The following is a 24,445-nucleotide window of genomic DNA, read 5'->3' as shown; positions in this document are numbered from 1 at the left end:
AGCCGCCTTCCTGAAAAGAGTTGTTAAGTCATTTTGAAACAGAGAAGGAAACCATGAAGGCCCAAGTCAGCCGGGACATGATCCCCGCAATGGTTACCGGCGGCCCCCAAGTGATGCCCTCGGACACGTGGATTTCTGCCGTGGCAACTCTCCCTTTTCCCTGGAGTGAACGCCTCCGCCCGTTAGCAGGTAGGTAACTAGAGCACAACACAGGAAGCCTGATTTTGAACAAAACCAAGAGCAGCATTGCCTTATTTAAGTAGACTTGTTAAATTATGACATCTTGACCAGGTAGGGTGGCTCACGCCTGTAATCCCAGCAATTTGGGAGGCCGAGGTGGGTGGATCACGAGGTCAGCAGTTCAAGACTAGCTTGGCCAACATGGTGAAACCCCATCTCTACTAAAAATACAAAAATTAGCCAGGTGCAGTGGCAGGCGCCTGTAATCCCAGCTACTCAGGAGGCTGAGGCGGGAGAATCGCTTGAACCCAAGCAGCAGTGGTTTCAGTGAGCCAAGATGGAGCCACTGCACTCCAGCCTGGGCGACAGAGTGAGACTCTGTCTCAAAGAAAAAAAAAAATTATGAGGTCTTGGTCAGACATGGTGGCACACGCCTGTAATCCCAGCACTTTGAGAGGCCGAGGTGGGCAGATTGCTTAAGCCCAGGAGGTGGAGACCAGCTTGGGCAACATGATGAAACCTGTCTCTACAAAAAATACAAATATTAGCCAAACGTAGTGGTGCACCCTGTAGTCCCAGCTACTTGGGAGGCTGAGGTGGGAGGATTGCTTGAACCCAGGAGGTGGAGGTTGCAGTGAGCCACAATCACACCACTGCACTCCAGCCTGGGCAACAGAGCAAGACCCTGTCTCAAAAAGTATCTATATATCTATATATCTATATCTATATCTATATCTATATCTATATCTATCTATCTATCTATCTATCTATCTACATATATATCTACATATATATCTGACATCTCAGGCTCAGAGTAGCCCTCCCTTCAGAGCTTTTAGGATCAGCAGAATGGGCATGAATTTGTGCTCACAGCCAAGAGTCAAGCAGAAAAAACAAACAAACAAAACATGGTAGGAGTTAGTTCAGATTGTGAAACAAAATACTCTTCTCTTGCCTCCCATTATAATTTCTAGGTCTGTGGAAAGTTCTGGGTGACTTCCAGCAGGATCATTTTTACAGAGTCTCTGCAGACAGCTCCCCACCAAGCCCAGCTTAGAATCAGCAGCTCACTCTGCGTCATGTCATAGTTGCTGTGCCTGCCTTCCCCACAAGCTCATAAGTGGTTGAAGGAAAGGAACCCTGCTTGGCTCAGCCTCGTAGTCCCCCAAGTCTCCTTGCAGAGAAGTTTGGTTGCAAACATAATGACATAATGGCAGCCCCCACCACTGTGTTGAGGGGCATGTGCATTGCAGAAAATGGACCTCTCCATTGAAGAAAGGTGTTGAGGGAACCAGAGACGTGGATTGCCAAGCTGGGACTTGCAGGGAGAGGCACCTTTGTCTGACGGCTTGGCACCTGAGCTCACTCAGGTAGCAATACTCCTGGGGAAGGTACAGGGCAAGGGGAGAGGGGCTGCCTGTGGCCCTGGGGTTCAGGACGAGAAGGGCACCCGGGTCTTTAAAACAAAGAACAGCCGTTGTCCAGACTGCTGGAGGCTCAGGGCTGCACATGCTGAGAAGTGCTGCATTTCCAGAAACAGTTCCTGGGCTCTGACTTTCCAACACCATCCAGGAAAGTCACACCATCCAGGAAAGTCATTGCACAGGCTCAAGTTTCCCAGTGGGTAATTTTAACTTTAGCACTGTTTGCTGTCTCTAAATGAGGCGTGAAACAGGACTAGGCACAGAGGAAGGCCATGCAGGCAGAGCAGGAGCCCCGGGGTGCTAGGAACCCCCCACAAGGCTCTTCCAGGCTTCGTTTTAAATGGAAGAGCATATAGAATGATTGTGGAGATTTTACCAGTGGCGGGACAGTATTAAGAACTGGGAAACAGGCCAGGCGCGATGGCTCACGCTTGCAATCCCAGCACTTTGGGAGGCTGAGGCGGGCGGATCACCTGAGGTCAGGAGCTCGAAACCAGCCTGGCCAACATGGTGAAACCTCATCTCTACTGAAAATACAAAATTAGATAGGCGCGGTGGCACATGCCTGTAATCCCAGATACTTGGGAGGCTGAGGCAGGAGAATTGCTTGAACCTGGGAGGCAGAGGTTGTGGTGAGCCGAGATTGTGCCATTGCAGTCCAGCCTGGGTGACAAGAGCGAAACTCTGTCTAAAAAAAAAAAAAAGTGGAAACAAACCAAACCAAATACCCTGCTTCAGTTGCTCCCCACACCAAAGCATTTGTTTCAAGTTAGATGAGAAAGCCACTAGAGAGGACGGTGAAAACACCACTCGGCTGTGGTGGAGAGAATGGTGTGGGTTTGCGGGGTGGCTGCTGTTTTTATTACTTCCATTTCCCAGTGGGGAGACTCCCCGCCTGTGGAGGCTGGGAAGTTTCTGAAAGCCACAGAGGGCTCCAGGTCTCGGAGCCCACTGACCCAGGCATCCACACGTCCCAAGGCTGAGTGAGGATCAGTGTGGAGTCTGACGGTGCAGGCCGAGCCTTTGAGTTCTGGAAGGAGACCTCCTGCCGCGTTTGCCCTGCTCTGAGCCAGCTCATCTGAGGGAAAGGCTGGAAGCAGCCTCCTGTCCAGCTCTTACTAGGGATGGGGGCCACCTCCTCCCGGCCTGGCCTCTCCCCGCTCTGCAACCCCTGAAATGCTTTCCTGTACTTCTCTCCTGCCCTCAGGATGGTCTCAACCTTTAACCACCTCCTCTCCCCCAAATTTAAGAATCATAGGGCCCCACGTGGGTGAAGAAGTGGGGGAGAAAGAAAGGTCAGAGCATGGGTGTCTTGGGCCCTTGGGGCCTGGCAGAATTTGAGTTTTGTCTTAAGAGTGGTTTGGAGCTGGCTGGGTGCGGTGGCTCACACCTGTAATCCCAGCCCTTTGGGAGGCCGAGGCGGGCAGATCACAAGGTCAGGAGATCGAGACCATCCTGGCTAACACAGTGAAACCCCATCTCTACTAAAAATACAAAAATTAGCTGGGCGTGTTGGTGGCGCCTGTAGTCCCAGCTACTTGGGAGGCTGAAGCAGGAGAATGGCGTGAACCCGGGAGGCGGAGCTTGCAGTGAGCTGAGATGGCGCCACTGCACTCCATCCAGCCTGGGCGACAGAGCGAGACTCCGTCTCAAAAAAAAAAAAAAAAAAGAGTGGTTTGGAGGCACTAAAGGCAATTAAAAGCTGGTGTGTGTGTGATGTGATCAGATTTACATTTTAGAACTATCACCTCGGCTACGGTGTGGACGCTGGGCGTCCAAGCAACCCCACTCTAGTGCTTGAATTAGGGAGATGCAGCAGCAGGAGAGAGGCAAGGATGGAGCTGGAACCAGATTAGCCCATCGAACAGGGCACGGTCGACAAGCGAGAGCCAGCGAGAGTGGCCCTAGATCTCTGGCTGCAGTAACTTGGTTGATGTTGGTGATATTTAATGAGATAGGAAAGGTGGGCAGTGTGGTGGGGCTGGGGGACAGATTTGGGAAGAGCTTTTGAGGCCTCCTTCAGTCCCAGGAATCTCTCTTCAGCCACATGGCTTTGAATGGACTCCAAAATGTTTGTTCTTAAAAAGAACAATAATTGAATGTGGCTTTTGTTAATAGAAAAAAAAAATACAAACAAAACAAAAACAAAACAATCAGCTCTTCCTCTTCCCTCCCTTCTCTTTTTTTAAAAACATTTTATTGGTTCCTTTCCTTTCCCTTCCTTTGAAGTGTCCAGGGCCAGCAGACCTTGGACCTGGGGCCAGGGAGGTGGTCAGGTTGCAGGAGGCTGCAGAGCCAGTGGGGACGAGGGAGCAGCTGGGATAAGGACATGACGAGGGCCTTAGAAGTCTGCACAGCCAGAACCAAGGAGGTGGTGATGTCAGGGGAGCAGCAGAGCCAGAAGCAGGGTATACACAGGGGAATAAGCATGTAATCCAAGAAGGGGATTACCCTTCTTGGGGATAATACATGGGGAAGAAGCAGGAGCCAGGCTTCTCACTCTCAGAGAAAGGAGCTGCAAACACAGAAAGGAGAAAGGTCCCATGGCTGTGGGGCATTGGATTGGAATGGGAAGTGTCTGTGCCAACTCGGGCTTTTAAGATATACAGGTAAATACCGGTCAGGTGCAGTGGCTCACACCTGTATTCCCAGCACTTTGGGAAACCGAGGTGAGTGGATCACCTGAGGTCCCAAGTTCGAGACCAGCCTGGCCAACATGGTGAAACCCTGTCTCTACTAAAAATACAAAAATGAGCCAGGCCTGTAATTTCAGCTACTTGGGAGGCTGAAGCAGGAGAATTGCTGGAACCCAGGAGGCAGAGGTTGCAGTGAGCTGAGATCGTACCACTGCACTCCAGCCTAGGCAACAGAGTGAGATGCGGTATTTTTTAAAAAAAAGATATATAGATAAATACAGGTGCATGAATGAGTGTATGTGCACACACTATTTCCTCACTCTGTCTGCTGCGAGAGCCCACAACACTCCAACAGCAATGAGAACACCTGCTGCTCAGATCTTGGCTGCTAAATGTCATCCTCCATGAAAGATAGCCAGTGCTCCTTGAGAAATGGCTGATTCTAGCAGCCTTTGAATCGAGGCCAAGAAGATCTAACAAGTACCTGCAACACCTGTTGCCCCAGAAAGCAAGAAAATGCTAAAATAATGGCGATTTGTCAAACAGATACAGGAGCCAGGAGCCAACTGAAGGAACAGTTGAAAGGTGCATCCAGCACAATTCAAACATCAAAATGAATAATAAAAATAATTATAATCCATCGAATAAAATAGAAATTCATGAGTCTGTACTGACATAAATAAAGGAGAAGGGACGGCTCCTCCCCACAGTGGAATGCCAATTAATAACCGTCGAAGCGACAACAAAAACAGTCACCATTTGGCAATCATCATAGTAATGACTGATTCAGGCAAGAATCGTCAATACATGCTAAACAAAGTGGGTGAGAGTTTGAGGAAAAATGTTATTACATTGTTCTTTTTTTTTTTTTTTTTCAAGACAGAGTCTCACTCTGTTGTCCAGGCTGGAGCGCAGTGGCATGATCACAGCTCATGGCAGCCTCAACCTCACAGGCTCCAGCGATCCTCACACCTCAGCCCCCCCAAGTACCTGGGACTATAGGCATGCATCACCACGTTTGGCTAAATTTTTTGTATTTTTTGTAGAGGCGGAATTTTGCCATGTTGCCCAGGCTGGTCTAAAACTCCTGGACTCAGATGATTTGCCCGTCTCGGTCTCCCAAAGTGCTAGGATCACAGGCGTGAGCCACTGCGCCTGGCCTTAAATTGTTATTAAAAGCAAAAACTAGTAACTTTACAATCCTTATTGTAACCTGGCAGCCACCAGCTTAACCAAGTGTCCAGTGTTAAGTTCTGCAGTAACAGCAGAGCGCCATTGTACCCCCTGAGATGGGTGCACAGAGGACACAGCATTGCTGCTATGCACTCCTGCAGAAAACGCAGAATCCGGGCCATGTCATGTGGAGACACCTGAAAACCCAAAATTGAGGGACAGGGACAGTCTACAAAATTATTAGCCTATTCTATTGAAAAATGCCAAGGTCATGAAAGACAAGAAAAGGCAAGGAACTGTGCCCAATTAAAGGACACTGAAGGGATGTGACAATTACATGTAACACATCATCCTGGATTGAGCCTCAGCCCAGAAGGGGGAAATTATATGTGTGTGTGTGCGTGTGTGTGTGTGTATAAAAGTTATATATAACTTCCATAAATATGTAAATAATAGATGTATATATTGTTATTGAGACTACTAAAAACATTTGAACGAAGGATCTAAGAATTAGATGGTGGTGTTTCATCCATGTTAATTTCCTGATTTTGACGGTTGAATGTGGTTACAAAGGAGAGTCTTTATCACTTAGGAAAAACACACTGATATATTTAGGGACAGTGGGGCATTGTCAGCAACTTACTTGTCAATAATTCAGAAAAATGATAATAGTAATATGACTGAAATGATGATAAACAGTATGCTAAAACATTAATTGGGTAAAGCAGAGGGTATACAGGAATTCTTTGTACCGTTCTTGAAAATGTTCTATAAGTCAAATTATCTTTTTTTAAAATAACTGTCGAAGCAACAGTTTTTTTTTTTTGTTGTTTTTTTTTTAAGAGACGGAGTCTCGCTGTGTCGCCCAGGCTGGAGTGCAGTGGTGTGATCTTGGCTCACTGCAACCTCCGCCTCCCGAGTTCAAGCAATTCTCCTACCTCAGCTTCCCAAGTAGCCGGGACTACAGGCATGTGCCACCACACCCAGCTAATTTTTGTATTTTTTAGTAGAGATGCAGTTTCACTACATGTTGGCCAGGCTGGTCTCGAACTCCTGACCTCAGGTGATCCACCTGCCTCAGCTTCCCAAAGTGATGGGATTACAGGCGTCAGCCACTGCACCCGGCCTAAATAACCACTTTTTGAGCTAAACACTGTAATAGTTTGTTGAAAATCAGCCTATGTAACCTAGCTCATGTAATTGGTACGAGTGTGCACACGTGCATGCACACACACACAAAGCAGGGGGAGGTTAGAGAGCATCTTGTTGCTGGGCGCGGTGGCTCATGCCTACAATCTCAGCCCTTTGGGACACTGAGGTGGGAAGATCGCTCGAGCCCAGGAGTTAGAGACCAGCCTGGGCAACATAATGAGAACTCGTCTCTATTAAAAAAAAATAAAAATAAAAAATTAGGCCAGGCACAGTGGCTCACACCCGTAATCCCAGCACTTTGGGAGGCCGAGGCCAGTGAATCATTTGAGGCCAGGAGTTCAAGACCAGCCTGGTCAACATGCTGAAAACCTGTCTCTACTACAAATACAAAAAAAATTAGTCAGGCATGGTGGTGTGTACCTGTAATCCCAGCTACTCAGGAGGCTGAGGCATGAGAATCGCTTGAACCTGGGAGGCAGAGGCTGCAGTGAGCAGAGATCATGCCACTGCACTCCAGTCTGGGTGACAGAGTGAGACTCTATCTCAAAAAAAAAAAAAAAAAATTAGCTGAGCATGGTGGCACATGCCTATAGTCTCAGCTACTTGGGAGGCTGAAATGGGAGAATCCCTTGAGCCTGAGAAATGCAGACTGCAGTGAACCAAGATTGTGCTCCTACACTCCAGCCTGGGCAACAGAATGAGACCCTGTCTCAAAAAAAAGATAAAGACTGGTGGGCGCTGTGGCTTCTGCCTGTAATCCCAGCACTTAGGGAGGCTGAGGCGGGTGGTTCATGAGGTCAGGAGTTCGAGACCAGCCTGGCCAACATGGTGAAACCCCATCTCTACTAAAGATACAAAAAAAAAAAAAAATAGCTGGGCGTGGTGGCAGGCGCCTGTAATCCCAGCTACTCGGGAGGCTGAGGCAGGAGAATTGCTTGAACCTGGGAGGCAGAGGTTGCAGTGAGCCGAGATCGCGCCATTGTACTCCAGCCTGGGTAACAGGGCGAGATTCCATCTCAACAACAACAAAAAAATAAAAAAGAAAGAAAAAAACCATCTTGCCTAAAAGTGTCTATTTTTATCATACAAAAACATTCCCAGTCTATATACTTCTGAAGGTTTCTGTACAAAAGCTACAAATACCATGGAAACACCTACGATGCCCAAATAGTTGCAACAATGCCCACGCCAATAATAAAAAGGTCAATTACAGAGAACCAGAGTCACACAGCAACGCGCATAGACGAGGGTGAGGTGACTGCAGCAGCCCAGGACAAGCACTGTGGTGAGTGCAGGCAGTCCCCTTGCTCTTCTTGGCTGTCTCAGCTGAAGCGTGTGCTGTGGGACTGGCCAGAGGGGAGGGGCTGCATTCTCTTCAGCAGCACAAGTGTCTCAGCTGGGGCTGCAGGATGGAGGTGGATGGGCACTGTGCATTGGCATGGCAAAGCTAGGCTCCTGCAAGTTTCCATCCACAGAAGAGCAAGGCAGGTCTCATTTTGTGACCAGGAGAGGGAGGTACTCTGGCTGGGCAGAGGAATGGGAGTAGATAGGACATAGCTTCTGTTTTCTGCCACAACCCATGGCTTGATTTAGCTTCTGGAATGACTGAGCATCAGACAGAGACTGATGGTGTGCACTCTTTTGTGGGTCTCTGGGTACAAACCAAAGCCTAGCACTGGGCAGGGGGTTGTCCCCTCTCTGCCATGCAGAAGCTGCAAGACTGTGGATGGGTAGCTTTAGTGCCTGGCACAGAGCCCTAGGCTGGGACAGTGACCCTGGTGTTCTTGCGGTACCGGGGTAAGTGCCTGTCAGACACCTGCACATTAGGACCTGGCAAAGGAGGAAGGAACGGTGCCCCGTGCTGCCCTGGGAGGGAGCAGGGAGGGGCTCTTTGAGGGCATCTCAGAAATACTTGTGGGAACTTTCAAGGGGGCAAATTTCTGGTAGTCAGGCTGCAGGGAATTTGAGCTGGCACATCTCACAAAGATGGCCTGATTTTGTGGGTTCCTGGGGCTTGGAAGGCTCTGACCTGCACTTGGGGGGAGAGAAAGGAGGCAACATCGCAAGACCTCATCTCGTTTAAATAAAAAAGAAAGAATGGATGTTGACTGATCATCAGATGTGGAAGAAAGTGGGCCAGATGCGCCCACATATGTGATGCAATTTATATTTTATCTAATAGTGCAGGTGGGTTTGATATCTTCAGCTTACAGATGGGGAAACTGAGTCTTAGAGAGGTTGAGCAGCTTGCCTGAGCGGTCAGAGATGCTGTCAGAAGAGCAGCATCCCAGGGGACATTTCCAGATGAGAGAGATGAGAAAGGGGTTGGAGGTGGTGGGTGGGGGATCCCCGGACTCTCTAGCTGGATGATAGTGAGATCCCGGAGGAGGACAGGCACAGAGCCAGGGGGCTGCCAGCCCAGGGCAGAGAAGGCAGTCAGAGACGCTGTGGCAGACGCAAGCCACTCGGGCTCAGTGGGTGGGTAGGGTGGTGTGAAACCTGGCATTTGGGGCGTCTACCTCCTGGAGGACAGGAGGTCCGCCCCCTGGGGCTATGGTGGACTGAGAGGTGGGAGGGGGGAAACTGGCACTGGCTATCTCTGGGCAAGGTCCAGCCGCCACTGGCCTCTCCCAGGCATGGTCCCAAACCACATGTCTGGAGACTTGAAAAGGGTAAAAGCCAATGCCAGTCTCGGTCAGAATCTCAGTGTGCAGAAGGGAGTGCCGTGGCAGCGCTGGGGAAGAGGCCCAAGCTTAAGGGAAGGAAAGCGAAGACTGAGCCCAAGCACCCACCCTGTCTCCAACCACCCGCCAGCTGGGGCCAGCAGGGACATCATGACTCCCACCCCAGACACCCGGTTCTTCCCAGCTCCCCGGCAAGCACCAGGTTGTAACCCCTCCCCCAGGCCCTTGCTGTCCAGGGCTGGGGGGCCCTGGCACTAGTGGAGCTGGGTTCTATCTTCTCCCAACTACTTCATTCCAACCAGCCCCAACTTCCTGAAGCTAGGTTCTTCGACATTCCTCTCGCCTTGTTTTGGGCAGACTTCCCAGAATCACCTGGCATGGGCTTTGCCCCACTCCCCAGCAGTCTCTGCACTCCCTTCTAAATCACCCCTTTCTCTGAGTTCATAGCCAACACCCTCTTTGCTGTGAAAGACCTGAGCCTGTTGCCTCAGACAACTGCCTTTGAGCACTGGAGCCACCTTGCCCATGGGGAGATCTAGGAGAAACCTGGGAGGTCTACATTCCCTGTGCCCACCCAAGATAGCCAATGGGGGCCTGGAGTACACATGTAAAAGCCCAGTTTCTTGCCTCCCTGCAGGACAAACTTGGAGGTGTAATTTACACTCCACAGCTCCTTGTGGAATCAGGCCATCCTCCCCAGGCTGGGTCCCTGCCTACCCCCTGCCTACCCACCAGCAGCCCTGCCTACCGCACCCTCTGCTGGGGAAACCCTCATGCCAGGTCAACTCTCAGACATGGGCATCCACTTAGGCCTTATCCCCCATGAGCTGGGATTCCCACTGGGATGTTGAGATCATCAGGTCCCCAAATCTCTGCCATTCACTCCCTAGTATCTGTGCCATGGGAGTCAGGCCCATGCTTTCCTTGAAGATTCAAGCAGCTTAGAAAGTGCTTTGAACCCCTCACATCAAAGGAGCTCAGGATGGAGGGCTGGAAAATTGACAGCTTTGGCTGATACTGAAATGACAGCTCTGAAGTCTCTGTTAATGTCACCAGGATCAGAGCAAGGGGACAAGGATGACAATGCTCTCCATCAGCAGGTGCTCTGGGTATTTGGATGGTGGAACCCTCATCTGGGAAACTCAGGTCCACAATTAAGAATCCAGGACAGGATGCGTCCTTGATCACTAGAGTCACAGCTGACAGCTAGAAACTGTGCCTCATACCTGGCATCACAGTGAGCTTTTCAGTTCACTATGGGAAAGGTTTCTGCACTTTCTCCAAGAGCTTAGGTGCACTGGAGAAGCCCAGAGGAGGAGGAGGGGTGCTGTGGCAGAAGGGCCCTTCCCTGCTGCAGGGCTTTGCAGCCACGTCCTTGTAGCACCTTGCACTAGAGCGTGATGAATCTGTGTCTCTGCCCCACTGATGTTGGGCTTGGCCACATGACTCTGGCCAAGCCAGTGCAATGTGGGCAAAAGCACCAGTTCTGAGCTGAGGGCTTTAAGGGCACATTGAGTTTCTACTCGCCCTCCTGGGCCCCTGCAATCTGCCATAAGAAAGGATGGCCAGGAAAACTCCAGCCCTTCAGCCTGGCCCAGGAATGAGGATGTTAGGCACAGACCTGGACATGATTAGAAACCTGGAGTCCAGCCTGGTTCAGCTGAGTCCAAGACAGCCCAACTAGATTAGCCAACCACAGCAGACCTGCAGACCCAGGAGTGGAAAGTCAATGTTTGCTGTCATTAAGTATTGAGATTTGAGGCTGTTTGTTATGCAGCAAACACTGACAGATACAAGTGTGGTGGGAAAAATAAACTTTCCCCCGGGGTCTTCCTCTTATTGAAACTTCATGACATACTTATCTTCATTAACCCATGGGGAAGCTGAGGCTGCGAGAGATAAGGCAACTTGTCCAATGTCACACAACTTGTTTTATCATCAGTATCTGCCAATAGGGACAAATCGTCAAGTTCCACATGCTCATTCCCATAGCGACTGCTCTCTGACCTCCCAGTGGCCACTGTCCCTTCATCTCATCCCCTGTGCAGGCCTTCGGGCCTCTTTGGACCCCACCATCTCTCCAACAAGCCAGAACCCCACTGTGGCCCCCCAGAGCCACTCTCTCCCTGGCACCCTCCACTTGCTGGCAGCCTGTCCTCCTGTGGCCCCTGTCCTCGAAGCTACTCGTCAAGATCCGCCCCACGATCACCTGCTGCCCTGGGCAGGGCTGAAGGAAAGCAGAGCTGGTGGTGCAGCAGCCAGCAGGCGGCCCGCTTGCGGTCACTACCCTCTTACCCTTCCCTTCCCCTCTGGCTCTCTTCCCCCCGGCTCAGCCCCCGGCATCAGGGACCAACACAGACCCAGGCCCTGCCCACAGTCCAGCAAAGGAGCAAGACACAGAACCATAAACAACTAAGAAAATATGACCAGGTGCAGAGGCTTGTGAAGAGAGGACAGTAGCTTGGGAGGGTGCTCCGGGAGACTCAGCCTGGTGGATCAGGGAAGGATTCACCAAAGAAGCTACTCTGCAGCTGAGATGCTCCTACTTCAGGTGAATAGGAGGTGGTGGGGCAAAGAGACAGGGAGCACCCTGGCGGGCGAAGGGAGCGGCACTGGCAAAGCACAGGTGTAGATAGAAATGACGGTTTCCAACCATAGCCAGGTTCTTACAGAGAGCGCAGCTGCTGTCCTACCCAGTTCCCTGGGACCCACTGACCGCCCCCCTGCTCCCATCCCCACTTCTGGGGGCTCTGTTGCTTTGCTGCCAAAGACCTAAGCCTGGTGCCTCAGACGACTGCCCTTGGGCACTGGAACCACCTCACCTATGGGGAAATCCAGGAGAAACCCGGGAGGTCCACATTCCCTATCCCTACCCAAGACAGCCAATGGGGGCCTGGAGTACATGTGCAAAAGCCCAGTTTCTTGCCTCCCTGTGGGACAAATTTGGAGGTGCAATTTATACTCCACAGCTCCTGTGAGATCAGGCCAGAGGTGAGACTTCACCTGAAACCACACCTGGTTTCCCCCTCTTCCCTGTCCTTTGTCCCCCACTCCCTTACTGGTTTCTCCTGGGAGCCCTTCTTTCATGAATTACTGGTACCAAGGCCTAGGATCTGCTTCTGGAAGAACCTGACCTATGGCGGTCAGCTCTCAAAATCAATCCTTGCACTTGTCCATCTCAAGCCTGTCCTCAACAGCTGACCAAACGATTCACCGTCAAGTCCTCAACTCAAGCCTCTCAGCACTGGGAAAGAATTTGGACCCCCCAACTTTATAGAAGAGCTGATCAGACATGAAAACCTTAGCTTCCTCTTCCTCTTCCTCCCCAACCATGGCCCATGAGGACCACGACCATCCCTCCCTGAGCCTACCCCCCATGGCTTCAGCACACTTCCGACCTCACCTTCTGTTTGCCCTGATCAGTCCCAAATCCTGCTCTTTAGCAGGGCCTCTGTCCCGTGAGTCCCTGAACCAGCTAGAGGGGATACCAGGGTGCCCTAAGTGTGACCGAGCATGCAAAGAAGCCTCAGCATTGAAGATGAAATGCATTGTGCATTTACCTCAGTGTTGGAAATGAATGAAGAAAAGGATGAATATTTTTTGAGTACTCAAACAGCTTCACTTAAGTTTCTGTTAGTCTTCCTATTTTACAGATAAAGAAATGGGGCAAGGCAGGCAGATCACTTGAGGTTAAGAGTTCAAGACCAGCCTGGCCAACATGGTGAAATCCCATCTCTACTAAAAATACAAAAATTAGCCAGGTGTGGTGGTGCGCACCTGTAATCCCAGCTACTTGAGAGGCTGAGGCAGGAGAATCACTTGAACCTGGGAGGCAGAGGTTGCAGTGAGCCAAGATTACACCACTACACTCCAGCCTGGGCGACAGAGCAAGACTATGTCTCAAAAAAAAAAAAAAAAAAAAAAGGCAGGGCACAGTGGCTCACACCAGTAATCCCAGCACTTTGGGAGGCGGAGGCAGGTGGATCATTTGAGGTCAGGAGTTCGAGACCAGCCTGGCCAACATGGTGAAACCCCATCTCTACTAAAAACACAAAAATAAGCCAGGCATGGTGGTACATGCCTGTAATCCCAGCTACTCGGGAGGCTGAGGCAGGAGAATTGCTTGAACCTGGGAGGTAGAGGTTGCAGTGAGCCGAGATCATGCCACCACACTCCAGCCTGGGCAACACAGCAAGTCTCTGTCTCCAAAAAAAAAAAAAAAAAAAAAGAACTACTTTTCTGAGAGAACACCCTAGCACTGGGCAGATCACCCCCTCGGCAGGCAGCCAGGATACAGAAGGGCCAAGTGACTTGCCCTGGAAGTGGCAGAGGCAGGACTTGAACCCAGATCTCAGGTTCCTTCCTCTAAGTTCTACGCTCCTGGACTCTGAAAGATTGCCGTTCTCCAATCTCTCTGCCTGTGTGTTCTGGTGCCTTTGACATGAGGCAAGCCTGCCTTGAGCTCCATTCCAAGGGCCTAGTTACTGGTGCAAAGCCCTCCCGTCTCTCTCAACATCTGTGCTGGATAGAGAAACCCAGGAACATAGACCAGGACAGCCATTGTGGAGAATAATCAGGTACAATTTAGGCAAATTAAATATGAGCATATGCTATGACCCAGCAACTTCACTCCTGGGCATATACCCCAGGGCTCACTTTGACAACCCACCTATATGGGTTGTCATTCTTTGTGCAGCAGAGATTTGCAGGGAACCTGGATGCCCATCACTGGGACAGTGGACAAGTAGTGTGGTCAAGGCATACATGGGGTGTTTTGCAGCAGCCAGAAGCAAGAGCTTGCTGTGCACGCAGCAGCATGGAAGATCCTTTGGTGAAAAGGGGGAACACAGAATGAAAGCTATGATATGACTTCAGTCAATTTAAAATGCATGCACCCAAGACAACAATAGTGTTTTGTAAGAACATATTCAAATAAAAAGACACCCATTCAAATGGTTTCCTAGGAAGGGGAGTGTTATACAAAGTGCAATATGGGGACAGAAGGGATTAAAACAGTTTGTAAAGTCATGGCTTTGTAGTGAGAAGGCGCTGTGGTTTTTTGGTTGTTTTTTTTTTTTTTTGAGACGGAGTCTTGCTCTGTCGCCCAGGCTGGAGTGCAGTGGCGTGATCTGGGCTCACTGCAAGCTCCGCTTCCCGGGTTCATGCCATTCTCCTGCCTCAGCCTCCCGAGTAGCTGGGACTACAGGCGCCCGCCACCACGTCCAGCTAATTTTTTTTGCATTTTTAGTAGAGACGGGGTTTCACTGTGTTAGCCAGGATGGTCTCGATCTCCTGACCTTGTGATCTGCCCGCCTCGGCCTCTCAAAGTGCTGGGATTACAGGCGTGAGCCACCGAGGCGCTGTGGTTTTGATCACATAGCCTGACTATGAAAGACCGGTTCTTAGCTCTGCTGTGGCTTCTCTGATTTGAGCTGAATTAATTGCCAAAACATTCTGTGCCTCAGTTTCTTCCTCTCATTCTGGCCCATGGGGAAAATCACGAAATGTGAAACTTGGTGTGAGTGAAGCAGGCGAGGTGTGGGACACTAGGGAGAGGCGGGGACTGGGGCCCATGGGGGAAACACCCCTTCAAAGGCAGCAGCTTCCAGTTAGCTCCAGTTACAGCATCATGGGGTAACACAGGCCTTGGGTGCTAGAATTTTAAATTTTTCAGAAGGTAAAAGTCCAGATTCCTAGATGAAATCTCCGATTTTTTAATGTTTGTGACTAAGTTTTAAAACACCATGTCAGCTACGAATGTCAATCTTAGCTCCACGACCAACTGGTTGTGCGATCTAGAGTACAGTATCTAACTCTCTGAGACCAAACCAGTTTCCTTGGCCGTGAATGAAGATTTCAAGACCTACTTGCCCAAGTGGTTTAACGAACTAACAGAGCCCGGGGCGTGGCTCCCAGTCAGTGAGAGCCACGGTCATCATGCAGCACCTGCTCTGCTAACTGTGCTAATGGACCAGCAACTCCCATTTCTCAGATAAATAAACTGAAGCTCAGAAGAATGGGCAGTTTGACCCTGATCACACAGTCAAGGAAGCAGACCAGGCAGGTAGAAAAAACATCCTTCCCAAACCTGATCACAAGGAAGAGGTAAAACTGATTAACTTATAAATAAGTTAATATAATATAATGTAATTATAAATATAATATAAATAAATATAATTTATAATAAATAAATATATTTATATTATATATAATATATATTATTTATATAATATGCAATTACTACTTATATAATATGTAATATATAATATCTATTATATGTTATATATTTAATAATAATATAATATATAATTATATATTATAATTATTTAATAATTAATTGATTTTAATAATGTTATATGACATATATGTCATTATTAATTATAATATAATATATGATATATCATTATTAATTTATAAAATAACTTATAAATAAGAGTTTGGGGATTAAAAGAGCTCTAAATAAAAAGAAGTGATTATTAATCTGTCTGACTCCTAACAGGTGTGACAGGAGTCTCTAATAAAGACGTCTACAGTCCTAGAGGCAGGCAGACCTCGCCAGGACTTGGCAGATGTGAGCTGATAACACACATGCCCATGGGGTGCTGGCACTGGCTCCTACAGGCTCAAATCCCAGTTTTCCAGGAACCCCAAGAGCTGGTTGTGAATGCAGCCACTCTGGTGGGAGCTGTGGTTAGAGTGTCTCCACGGTAGAAATAGGCAAACACTACAAATCACGGGCTTGTTTTCTTCCCTGGAGAACTGGTTGTCCAAGGTTTACCATGGCATGTGGTCCAGTGACATTGACCCTTTTGGCAAAATCATCCCTTCAGTCCCCAGAGACCAGACCTCCTGATACACCCGCCTTCCCTTCTGCATGGCCCCCATCTCCAGAAAGCAAGTTTGGATCAGGAAGAAATGCAGTTAGCACAAGATGGTGAATGACTCGTTGGGGGCACACGGAGGGGATTACCGTTCAGTGAGGAACACTGAAAGATGGCAAAGGGCCAGACCACGACAGGAAGCTTCCGCCTTCTTTGAGGGGTAGGTGAGATTGTCTGAAACCAAGAAATGCCAGAAAGGGACAGTAACAGTGTTCTGGGTGGCAAGTGCAGTGACAAAAGTGAGCCCTCCAGCTCCCCAGTGGGGCCCACCCTGCCCTCTGGGGAAAGGAGGCTCTAACAGGAGCAGACAGGTCACACCTGCAAAGGAACTGAAAGTCACTGCTCTGAGGAACTGGGACCAAACCCCAAGGCAGAAAACAGGCTGTGACGACCCCAGCTTCCGTAGAACCAAGCCTCATCCCAGGGAAGAGAGAGAGCTCTGGGTGAGCGAGCTCAACCGGGGGTGCCCATGAGTCCATGGGGGATGCTGAGAGGAGAGAGCCAGGACACCTGAGGGCAGGCCAGGGGGAATTCTGATTGTCACCGGGAGTAACGTGGGCTGTTTTGGAGTTTACAGTGTAGTGAGCTTGACGTCCACCCCAGGCAAGAGGCTAGATGAGATTACTAACAGCATGATCTGTGAGGAGAGGCAAAGCAGGTGCTGGGCCTGGGAACCAGCAGGAGGTCACTGGGAACACACCAAGTCAACTAAACCTGTTTACCAGTGTGTGGTTGCTGGCCTCACAAGTTGGGTAATTAGTTGCGTCTGATGAATATCATAGCTCAGTGGCCTACAGCAGTCAGGCGGGTGATGTAAATGAGTGGAACAGGCTGCGAGTGAGGCGACAGGGCGAGGTGGGGATGGTGACACATCAAAGAGAACTGCCCCATTGAAAGGGAATGCTTCCACTCTGATATGGTTTGACTGTGTCCCCACCCAAATCTCATCTTGAATTGTAACTCCCACAATTCCCACGTGTCGTGGGAGGAACCCGGTGGGAGGTGATTGAATTATGGCGGCTCTGTTCTCGTGATAGTGAATGGGTCTCATGAGATCTGATGGCTTTAGAAATGGGAGTTTGACTGCACAAGCTCATTCTTCTCTTGTCTGCCACATGAGATGTGCCCTTCACCTTCCGCCATGATTGTAAGGCCTCCCCAGCCACGTGGAACTGTGAGTCCATTAAACCTCTTTCTTTTGTAAGTTGCCCAGTCTTAGGTATGTCTTTATCAGCTGCGTGAAAACAGACTAATACACGCCCCACCCCAGCTACATCACTGTGGAATAATCAAGGGTATCAGATCTTCAGATTTTTCAAGGAAAGCTGAAAATCCAGATTATTATGTAGAAATCTCTGAATTTTTAAAAATGCTTGTAACTGGTTCATAATTTTTAAAAATATGGGTTGGGTGAACAGAACACTAAATCCAACATAGGGGCCACCAGATTGTGATCTTTAATCTGATATCTATAGGTTTCCATAAAGCATTTTATGGGGTTCATTTGTGATTTTGTTGTTGTTGAAGAGCACAGGGAGAGAGATGGGCCTGGCTGAGGCCACACCAGTGTCAGTCCAGACATAGGCGTCTGTGCTGTTGGTTCCTCCTTTCATTCACATCAGCAATTCAGATAAGGATCCAGGAGGCAGGCCTTCCAATGTGGGGCTGCCATCCAGCTAGGAGGATGGCACACATGCCAGGTGCTAGAGCCAGGATGAAGCTGACCTCAATGGTCTGGAGTAACGGGCTGGTGTAGCCATGGGAAGTTTAGGACAAAACAATCTAAAGTTCCAAGTCTCGGCTGGGCACGGTGGCTCACACGTGTGATCCCAGCACTTTGGGAGGCCAAGGTGGGTGAATCACCTGAGGTCAGGAGTTCGAGACCAGCCTGGCCAACATAGCAAAACCTCGCCTCTACTATAAATACAAAAATTAGCCAGACATGGTGACGCACACTTATAATCCCAACTACTCCGGAGGCTGAGGCAGAAGAATTGCTTGAACAAGGAGGCGGACGTTGCAGTGAGCCAAGATCGCACCACTGCCCTCCAGCCTGGACGACAGAGTGAGACTCTGTCTCAAAAATAAATAAATAAATAAATAAATAAATAAAAATAAAGTTCCAAATCTAGCTTAGCAGGAGCACATGTGAAAAAGACGATGGCATTTTAGTCGATGGCAAATACATTGTGAAGCTGGATCGCTGAATGGGCGCCCCCTGGTGCCACTGTCTGTGAGACTGCACTCGTGGAGGGGCGCCCGGTGGGAGGGTCAGTCCACTCTGCAGGCCTTGGGTTCTGAGACCCCCATTAGGAAGGACAGGCACCAGGTTGAGTGTGTCATGGGAGGTGGATCTGGGATGGCCTGGGGTTAAGAGGGGCGTGCGGAATGGCTGAAGTAACCCAGAGGGTTTGGCCTGAAGAAACCTCAAGAGAGACCTGCCTGGTTTTTCAAACAGTTGAGGCTTCCATGTATCTCCTGAGGGGAGAACCGGGATCCAGGAGTGGATTTTATAGGAGGCCGATTTCTGCTCTATTCAAGGAACACGTTAAAGAAGACCAGAACTATCTAGAGATATACAGGTTGTGGCCTGAGAGTTTCCTGGTGTCTGGCCCTGACCACGCCTCCAGCACCACGTCTCACCAAAGAGGAGCCTCGCAGTGGGTTGAGCTGGCTCAGAAGACCCTGTGGCTCACCACTGGCTAAGTTTTCCAGCTCCTATCCACGGTGCTGGTCCCATTTGGGCACCATTCGGTGAGTGCCCATCTCCCAGCACTCCTGTTGCACTCCTTGTCTTTGACTTGCATCCTCCTCCTGGAGCAGAAACATCCTTGGAAATCGGAAGTGAGACAACCAAGGCCGGGTGCAGTGGCTCATCCCTGTGATCCCAGCACTTTGGGAGGCTGAGGCAGGTGGATCACTTAAGGTCACGAGTTCGAAATCAGCCTGGCCAACATGGTGAAACCCTGTATTTTAAATCTACTTAAAATACAAAATTTAGCCAGGCATGGTGGCGCATGCCTGTCATCCCAGCTACTCAGGAGGCTGAGGTGGGAGAATTGCTCGAACCTGGGAGGTGCAGGTTGCAGTGACCGAGATCGCGCCACTGCACTCCAGCCTAGGCGACAGAGTGAGACTCTGTCTCAAAAAAAAAAAAAGAAATGAGACAACCAAAAGCACCATGCCACTGATCTGCAGCATTGCACGGCGGGTCCCAGCCAGCACAAAACAGATCAGAACAACTCCCCTGTCCCTAAATGAGTTGCATTGGAAGGAACAGACTGTCTGCCATTATTTGCACAAAACAAGATCATTTACCTAGGGAAGCCAAAAGAATAAATTCAGAAACTATTAAAATGAATAAGAGAATTCAGACAGATATTTAAGAGTACCCTACCGAAACTATCACTTTCCTAGATACCCACAAAACCTAACCAGAAAATGTCATGATGGAAAAGGAAGATTCTGTTTGCAAAGGTAATTAAAGCTACATCACACTCAGTAACAGAGCAGGTTTAAGAACTATATGGAGAAAGCAGAAAAAAGATATAAAAGAAAAGCTGAATAAATGGAGAGAGAAACCATGATCTCAAATTGAAGGACTTGATGTTATAAGAACATAAGTTATTTATAAATTAACCTATTAATTACATGTAATTGCACAAAATTCTAACTGGGATTTTTTCAGAGAACTTGACAAGCTGATTTTAAAAATCACCTGGAAAAGAAAATGCATGGCAAGCAAGGACTAATGAGAATAATAAATGGGAACTTAGTCTGCCAGATAAGGAAACACACAAGAAAGCCACCTCGATTAAACCTATGCAGCTGGGTCAAGAGTAGATTAATCTATCAATGGAACAGGAGGAGGCGTTTCAAATCAGATTAGGACTATGGGGGAAATTAGCACATGATATAATGGCATTGTGAATCAATGGGAAAAGGATGGGCTATTTAATACGGTGTTGGCTATCCATTTGGACGGTGAAGTTATAGTCCCTATTTTATACCAAACATAAAAATAAATAAAGAGCTAAACATAAAAACACATTAAAAATTGTTAGAAGAAAATAGCATTTTCCCTAAATAAATAATATTGGGATGGGTGATTCACAAAACTCAGAATCCGTAAATGAAAACATTTGACTACCTAATGGTTTTAAACTTCCACATGACAAAACGCACCATAAACAATGTTTAAAAACATTGCAGGCTGGAGAAAATATTTTCATATAACTTACCCCCAAAATTAATATACAAAACATATAAAGGGTTTTTAAAATCGGAAATATTTTTAAAAAGGAAAAAATGGAAAAAGAATATAAATAGGCAATTGACAGGAAAAGAAACACAAATGGTGAATGCATATATGAAAATAGGCTCAGTGTCATTTCTTTTGAGATGGGATCTCGCTCTGTCACCCAGGCTGGAGTGCAGTGGTGTGATCTCGGCTCGCTGCAACCTCCGCCTCCCAGGTTCAAGTGATTCTCCTGCCTCAGCCTCCTGAGTAGCTGGGGTTACAGGCATGCGCCACCACGCCTGGCTAATTTTTGTATTTTTAGTAGAGTTGGCATTTCACCATGTTGGCCAGGCTGGTCTCGAACTTCTGACCTCTGGTGATCCGCCCAGCTCTGCCTTCCAAAGTGCTGGGATTATAGGCATGAACCACCACGCCTGGGTCATTAGTGTCATTTCTAATGAGAGAAATGCAAAATAAAATATTGCGATCACATATTTCACTCATTGTCTGCTGAAAATTACAGGCACTGGTAATGTCCAGAATTGAGATGTGTGAGCATCATGAGGACCAAGAGACACTGGGTGAGAAGGTCACTCGGAAGAGCCCCGGGCAAAGCAGTTTGGCAGTATTTTACAATCATATACGCATTCCTTCAACCCAGTAATAGTTTTTCTTGGAGAAAGCTTGTATGCACAGTCACAAGCAAGCCTTGCTTATTGTAGCATCTGTCTTTTGTAGTGAGAACAACAAAAAAGAAAATCATCTATGTATCCATCCATTATCGTTCAACTGTTAAAAAGCACAAAAGATGCATGAATGAACTTGGATCCATCTCACGGACAGATTGCTAAGGGAAGAAAGCAAATCGCAGAACAGTGTATACGGTATTATCCTATTTACAAAAACAAATATAAATATATAAAACATTTGAAAACAGTATCTGAGAAACTGTCAACAGTGGGACTAGGGTGGGGGATTTGCAGGACATTAGGGTTACCAATAGGAGAAGGGGATCTCTATTTCCTATGTATTTCCTTTGGTACTGTTTTAATTTTTTTTTGACCAAGCTGAGATATAACTTTTAAATGTAAAAAAAAAATTATTTTAAAAGTTCTATCTCCATTTTGGGAAGCCAAGGTGGGAGGATTGCTTGAGCCCAGGAGTTGTTTTTTTTTTTTTTTTTTTTTTTTTTTTGAGACAGTTTCAATCTTGTTGCCTAGGCTGGAGTCCAGTGGCTCGGTTCACTGCGACCTCTGCCTCCCAGGTTCAGGCGATTCTCCTGCCTCAGCCTCCCAAGTAGCTGGGATTACAGGTGCCCACCACCACCCCCTCCAGCTAATTTTTGTATTTTTAGTAGAGATGGGGTTTTACCACGTTGGCCAGGCTGGTCTCGAACTCCTGAGCTCAGGTGATCCACCCGCCTCGGTCTCCCAAAGTGCTGGGATTACAGGCGTGGGCCACTGCGCCTGGCCAAGCCCAGAAGTTTAAGAACAGCCTGGGCAACACAGTGAGATCCTATCTCTAAAATACAAGTTCTATCTCAACACTCTTATGTATGTGCAATCTTGTGTATATAATCTATCCCTTAAACAAAAACCAAAAACTATCCTACAACAATATCACCCTGCAACTTTTTTATTAATGTTTGAAATCTTTCCAACTCATTACACACAGCTCTACTTTAATTTTTTAAGCAGCTGCATAGTCTTCCATTGGCTGGACCACAGTGTATTTAAGCAGTTCCCTCTTCATCATGGTTAGGTTGAATGCTAACCTAGGCAACATGAGGTTGTTTGTTAGGATTCTTCTTTGACCCCTATTTGAAATAATGCTGCAGTGGGTGTCCTCGTATATATATCTTTGTCCATGTGACTTGTTGGACAAATTAGGGGTGGGAGAACATTCCTCACTGCACCCAGACATTACGGATGTTGATAGACATTGGCAATTTGCCCTCCAGAGCATTTGTCGGCATTTGCACTCCCTCCCGTGGTGAGTGAGACTGACTGCCATTCCCCCAACCCACACATGGTCTTCAAACCCTAATGTGCATCAGGATCACCTGGGGATCTTGTTCAAACGCTGATTCTGAATTCCCGGGTCTGGGACCTGATTGTCCACATTTCTAACAAGCTTCCAGGTGATGCTGATCTGCTGGCCTGTGGACCAGACTCTGAGCAGCAAGGTTCTAGAGCAATGATGCCCAGTGAAAATGTAATGTGAGCCTTATATACAATTTTAAATTTTCCAGCAGCCAGATTTTAGAATTTTTTTTTTTTTTTTTTTTTTTTTTTTTTGGGATGGAGTCTTGCTCTATTGCCCAAGCTGGAGTGCAGTGGGGCAATCTCAGCTCACTGCAACCTCTACCTGCCGGGATCAAGCATTTCTCCTGCCTCACCCTCCGGAGTAGCTGGGACTACAGGCATGCACCACTAAGCCCGGCTAATTTTTGTAATTTTAGTAGAGACGGGGTTTCACCATGTTGGTCAGTCTGGTCTCGAACTCCTGACCTCAAGTGATCTGCCTGCCTTGGCCTCCCAAAGTGCTGGGATTACAAGCATGAGCCACCATACCCAGCCTGGGAGTTTTTAAACATCGGGATAAAATCAATTTGATGAATGTATTTTATTTAACCCAATATATCCAAAATATTAAGATTTCAATGTGCAATAAAATTATCATGAGATATAGGACATTCTCTTTTTTGGGGGGGGAGGGGGTGTATTCTAAGTGCTCTGTGACCCCATGTGGCCTGTGGCTGCAGCACTGGCCAGCACAGCTGTAGAGAATCTCTTGGGCTCTACCAGGCAGGGGACCACGGCAACATCTGTTTCTCAGACTCCAGGGAGAAGCACAGGGAAAACGGGCCAGGAGGCAGAAGAAGGGTGCTCAGGAGGCATGCATAGCGTGTTCTTCTGCCAAGGGAGTGTGGCCTGAAGCCACCACTGGGCAGGTGGCAGGAGAGAGCCAGTGGTGGGACCAGCTCTGGACGTCATCACATTATTATTGACAAATTTTTGCAAATCTTTTCACCCCAAAATTGAAGACTGTCCATCTCTACCATCTCTAACAAATGCCTCATTGAACACTTGATGAGCTTAACATAAAGTCTTTTTTTTTTTTTTTTGGAGACAGTGTCTCACTCTGTCGCCCAGACTGGAGTGTGCAGTGACGTGATCTCAGCTCACTGCAACCTCAGCCTCCCAAGTTCAAGCGATTCTCATGCCTTAGCCTCCTGAGTAGCTGGGATTATAGGCAACTCGCCACCATGCCTGGCTAATTTTTGAATTAGACAGAGACAGAGTTTCACCATGTTGGCCAGGCTGGTCTTGAACTCCTGACCTCAAATGATCTGCCTGCCTCAGCCTCCCAAAGTGCTGAAATTACAGGCATGAGCCACTGCACCTGGCCTTACCATAAAGTCTTGAAGACCATTTTTAAGATGTCAAATATATTCCAGACTCTAAAGTTACATTTTAGAGAAACATATCTACACTGATAGTTTCCCAAGAAGGAAGGCTTATTTCCATGTCAGGGGATTTTACTTCTGTTTTGTATTTTCAATTTGAACTTCCTCACCCTCACTACTGCCCTAAGAGAAAAAGCAGAAATTATCAATATTAATCTGCCGTAATCCTTCTCTGTCCAAAAAAAGAAAAGAAAGATTAGACAAGAGAGGAATGCAGTGGCCCATCAGACCACGTGAAGGAGACCCTGACTTCACAAAGCCCTCAGGTTGAAGTCTGCTTATTGTTCCATTTCTCTCAAGACACATTCTTTAATTTCTCTTTCTGTTTCTTCCTGGGTAACCATTTTTATCTTAGAGTCAAGATTCTTTCACCCATGCCTTTTTCATCCAGCGGAAATCTACTAAGCCCTGTCAGGGGCAACGTGTCAGGTGGGGCTGAGGAATGAAGATGGCTGTAGGGGTGCTGGGGGCTGGGGTGGGAGCACCCCTGGCTACGTGGGAGCCACTGACAGTGATGGGCCTGGGGCTCCTTGGCCTGTCTCAAGATGGAAGAAGGGACGGGAGATTGAGGGATAAAGGGATGCTGTTGGGAGCATCCAAGGCCTC

General features: G+C 48.1%; 1 protein-coding gene across 4 annotated transcripts in view, besides 3 other annotated features; it reads right to left on the bottom strand.

Annotated features, from left to right (window-relative positions):
- Positions 1-24,445, bottom strand: part of INPP5D (inositol polyphosphate-5-phosphatase D) — a 147,562-nt gene that overhangs the window by 90,724 nt on the left and 32,393 nt on the right. The gene's annotated exons all lie outside the window — the stretch shown is intronic.
- Positions 7,913-8,152: an enhancer, noted in NCBI's record as "active region_17334". NCBI's record gives its function as "activates an Ori minimal core promoter by ATAC-STARR-seq in GM12878 lymphoblastoid cells {active_cell/tissue: GM12878}" and the evidence as "EXISTENCE:reporter gene assay evidence [ECO:0000049][PMID:35858748]".
- Positions 8,768-9,267: an enhancer, noted in NCBI's record as "H3K4me1 hESC enhancer chr2:233972623-233973122 (GRCh37/hg19 assembly coordinates)". NCBI's record gives its function as "activates a minimal SCP1, AML or CMV promoter by ChIP-STARR-seq in naive H9 embryonic stem cells {active_cell/tissue: H9 hESC(naive)}" and the evidence as "EXISTENCE:reporter gene assay evidence [ECO:0000049][PMID:30033119]".
- Positions 9,268-9,769: an enhancer, noted in NCBI's record as "H3K4me1 hESC enhancer chr2:233972121-233972622 (GRCh37/hg19 assembly coordinates)". NCBI's record gives its function as "activates a minimal SCP1, AML or CMV promoter by ChIP-STARR-seq in naive H9 embryonic stem cells {active_cell/tissue: H9 hESC(naive)}" and the evidence as "EXISTENCE:reporter gene assay evidence [ECO:0000049][PMID:30033119]".

This window comes from Homo sapiens, chromosome 2 (genome assembly GCF_000001405.40).
Source record: "Homo sapiens chromosome 2, GRCh38.p14 Primary Assembly".
Taxonomy (NCBI): Eukaryota; Metazoa; Chordata; class Mammalia; order Primates; family Hominidae; genus Homo; species Homo sapiens.
The sequence above is the reverse complement of the archived record's forward strand: the minus strand, read 5'-3'. Positions and strand labels throughout refer to the sequence as shown.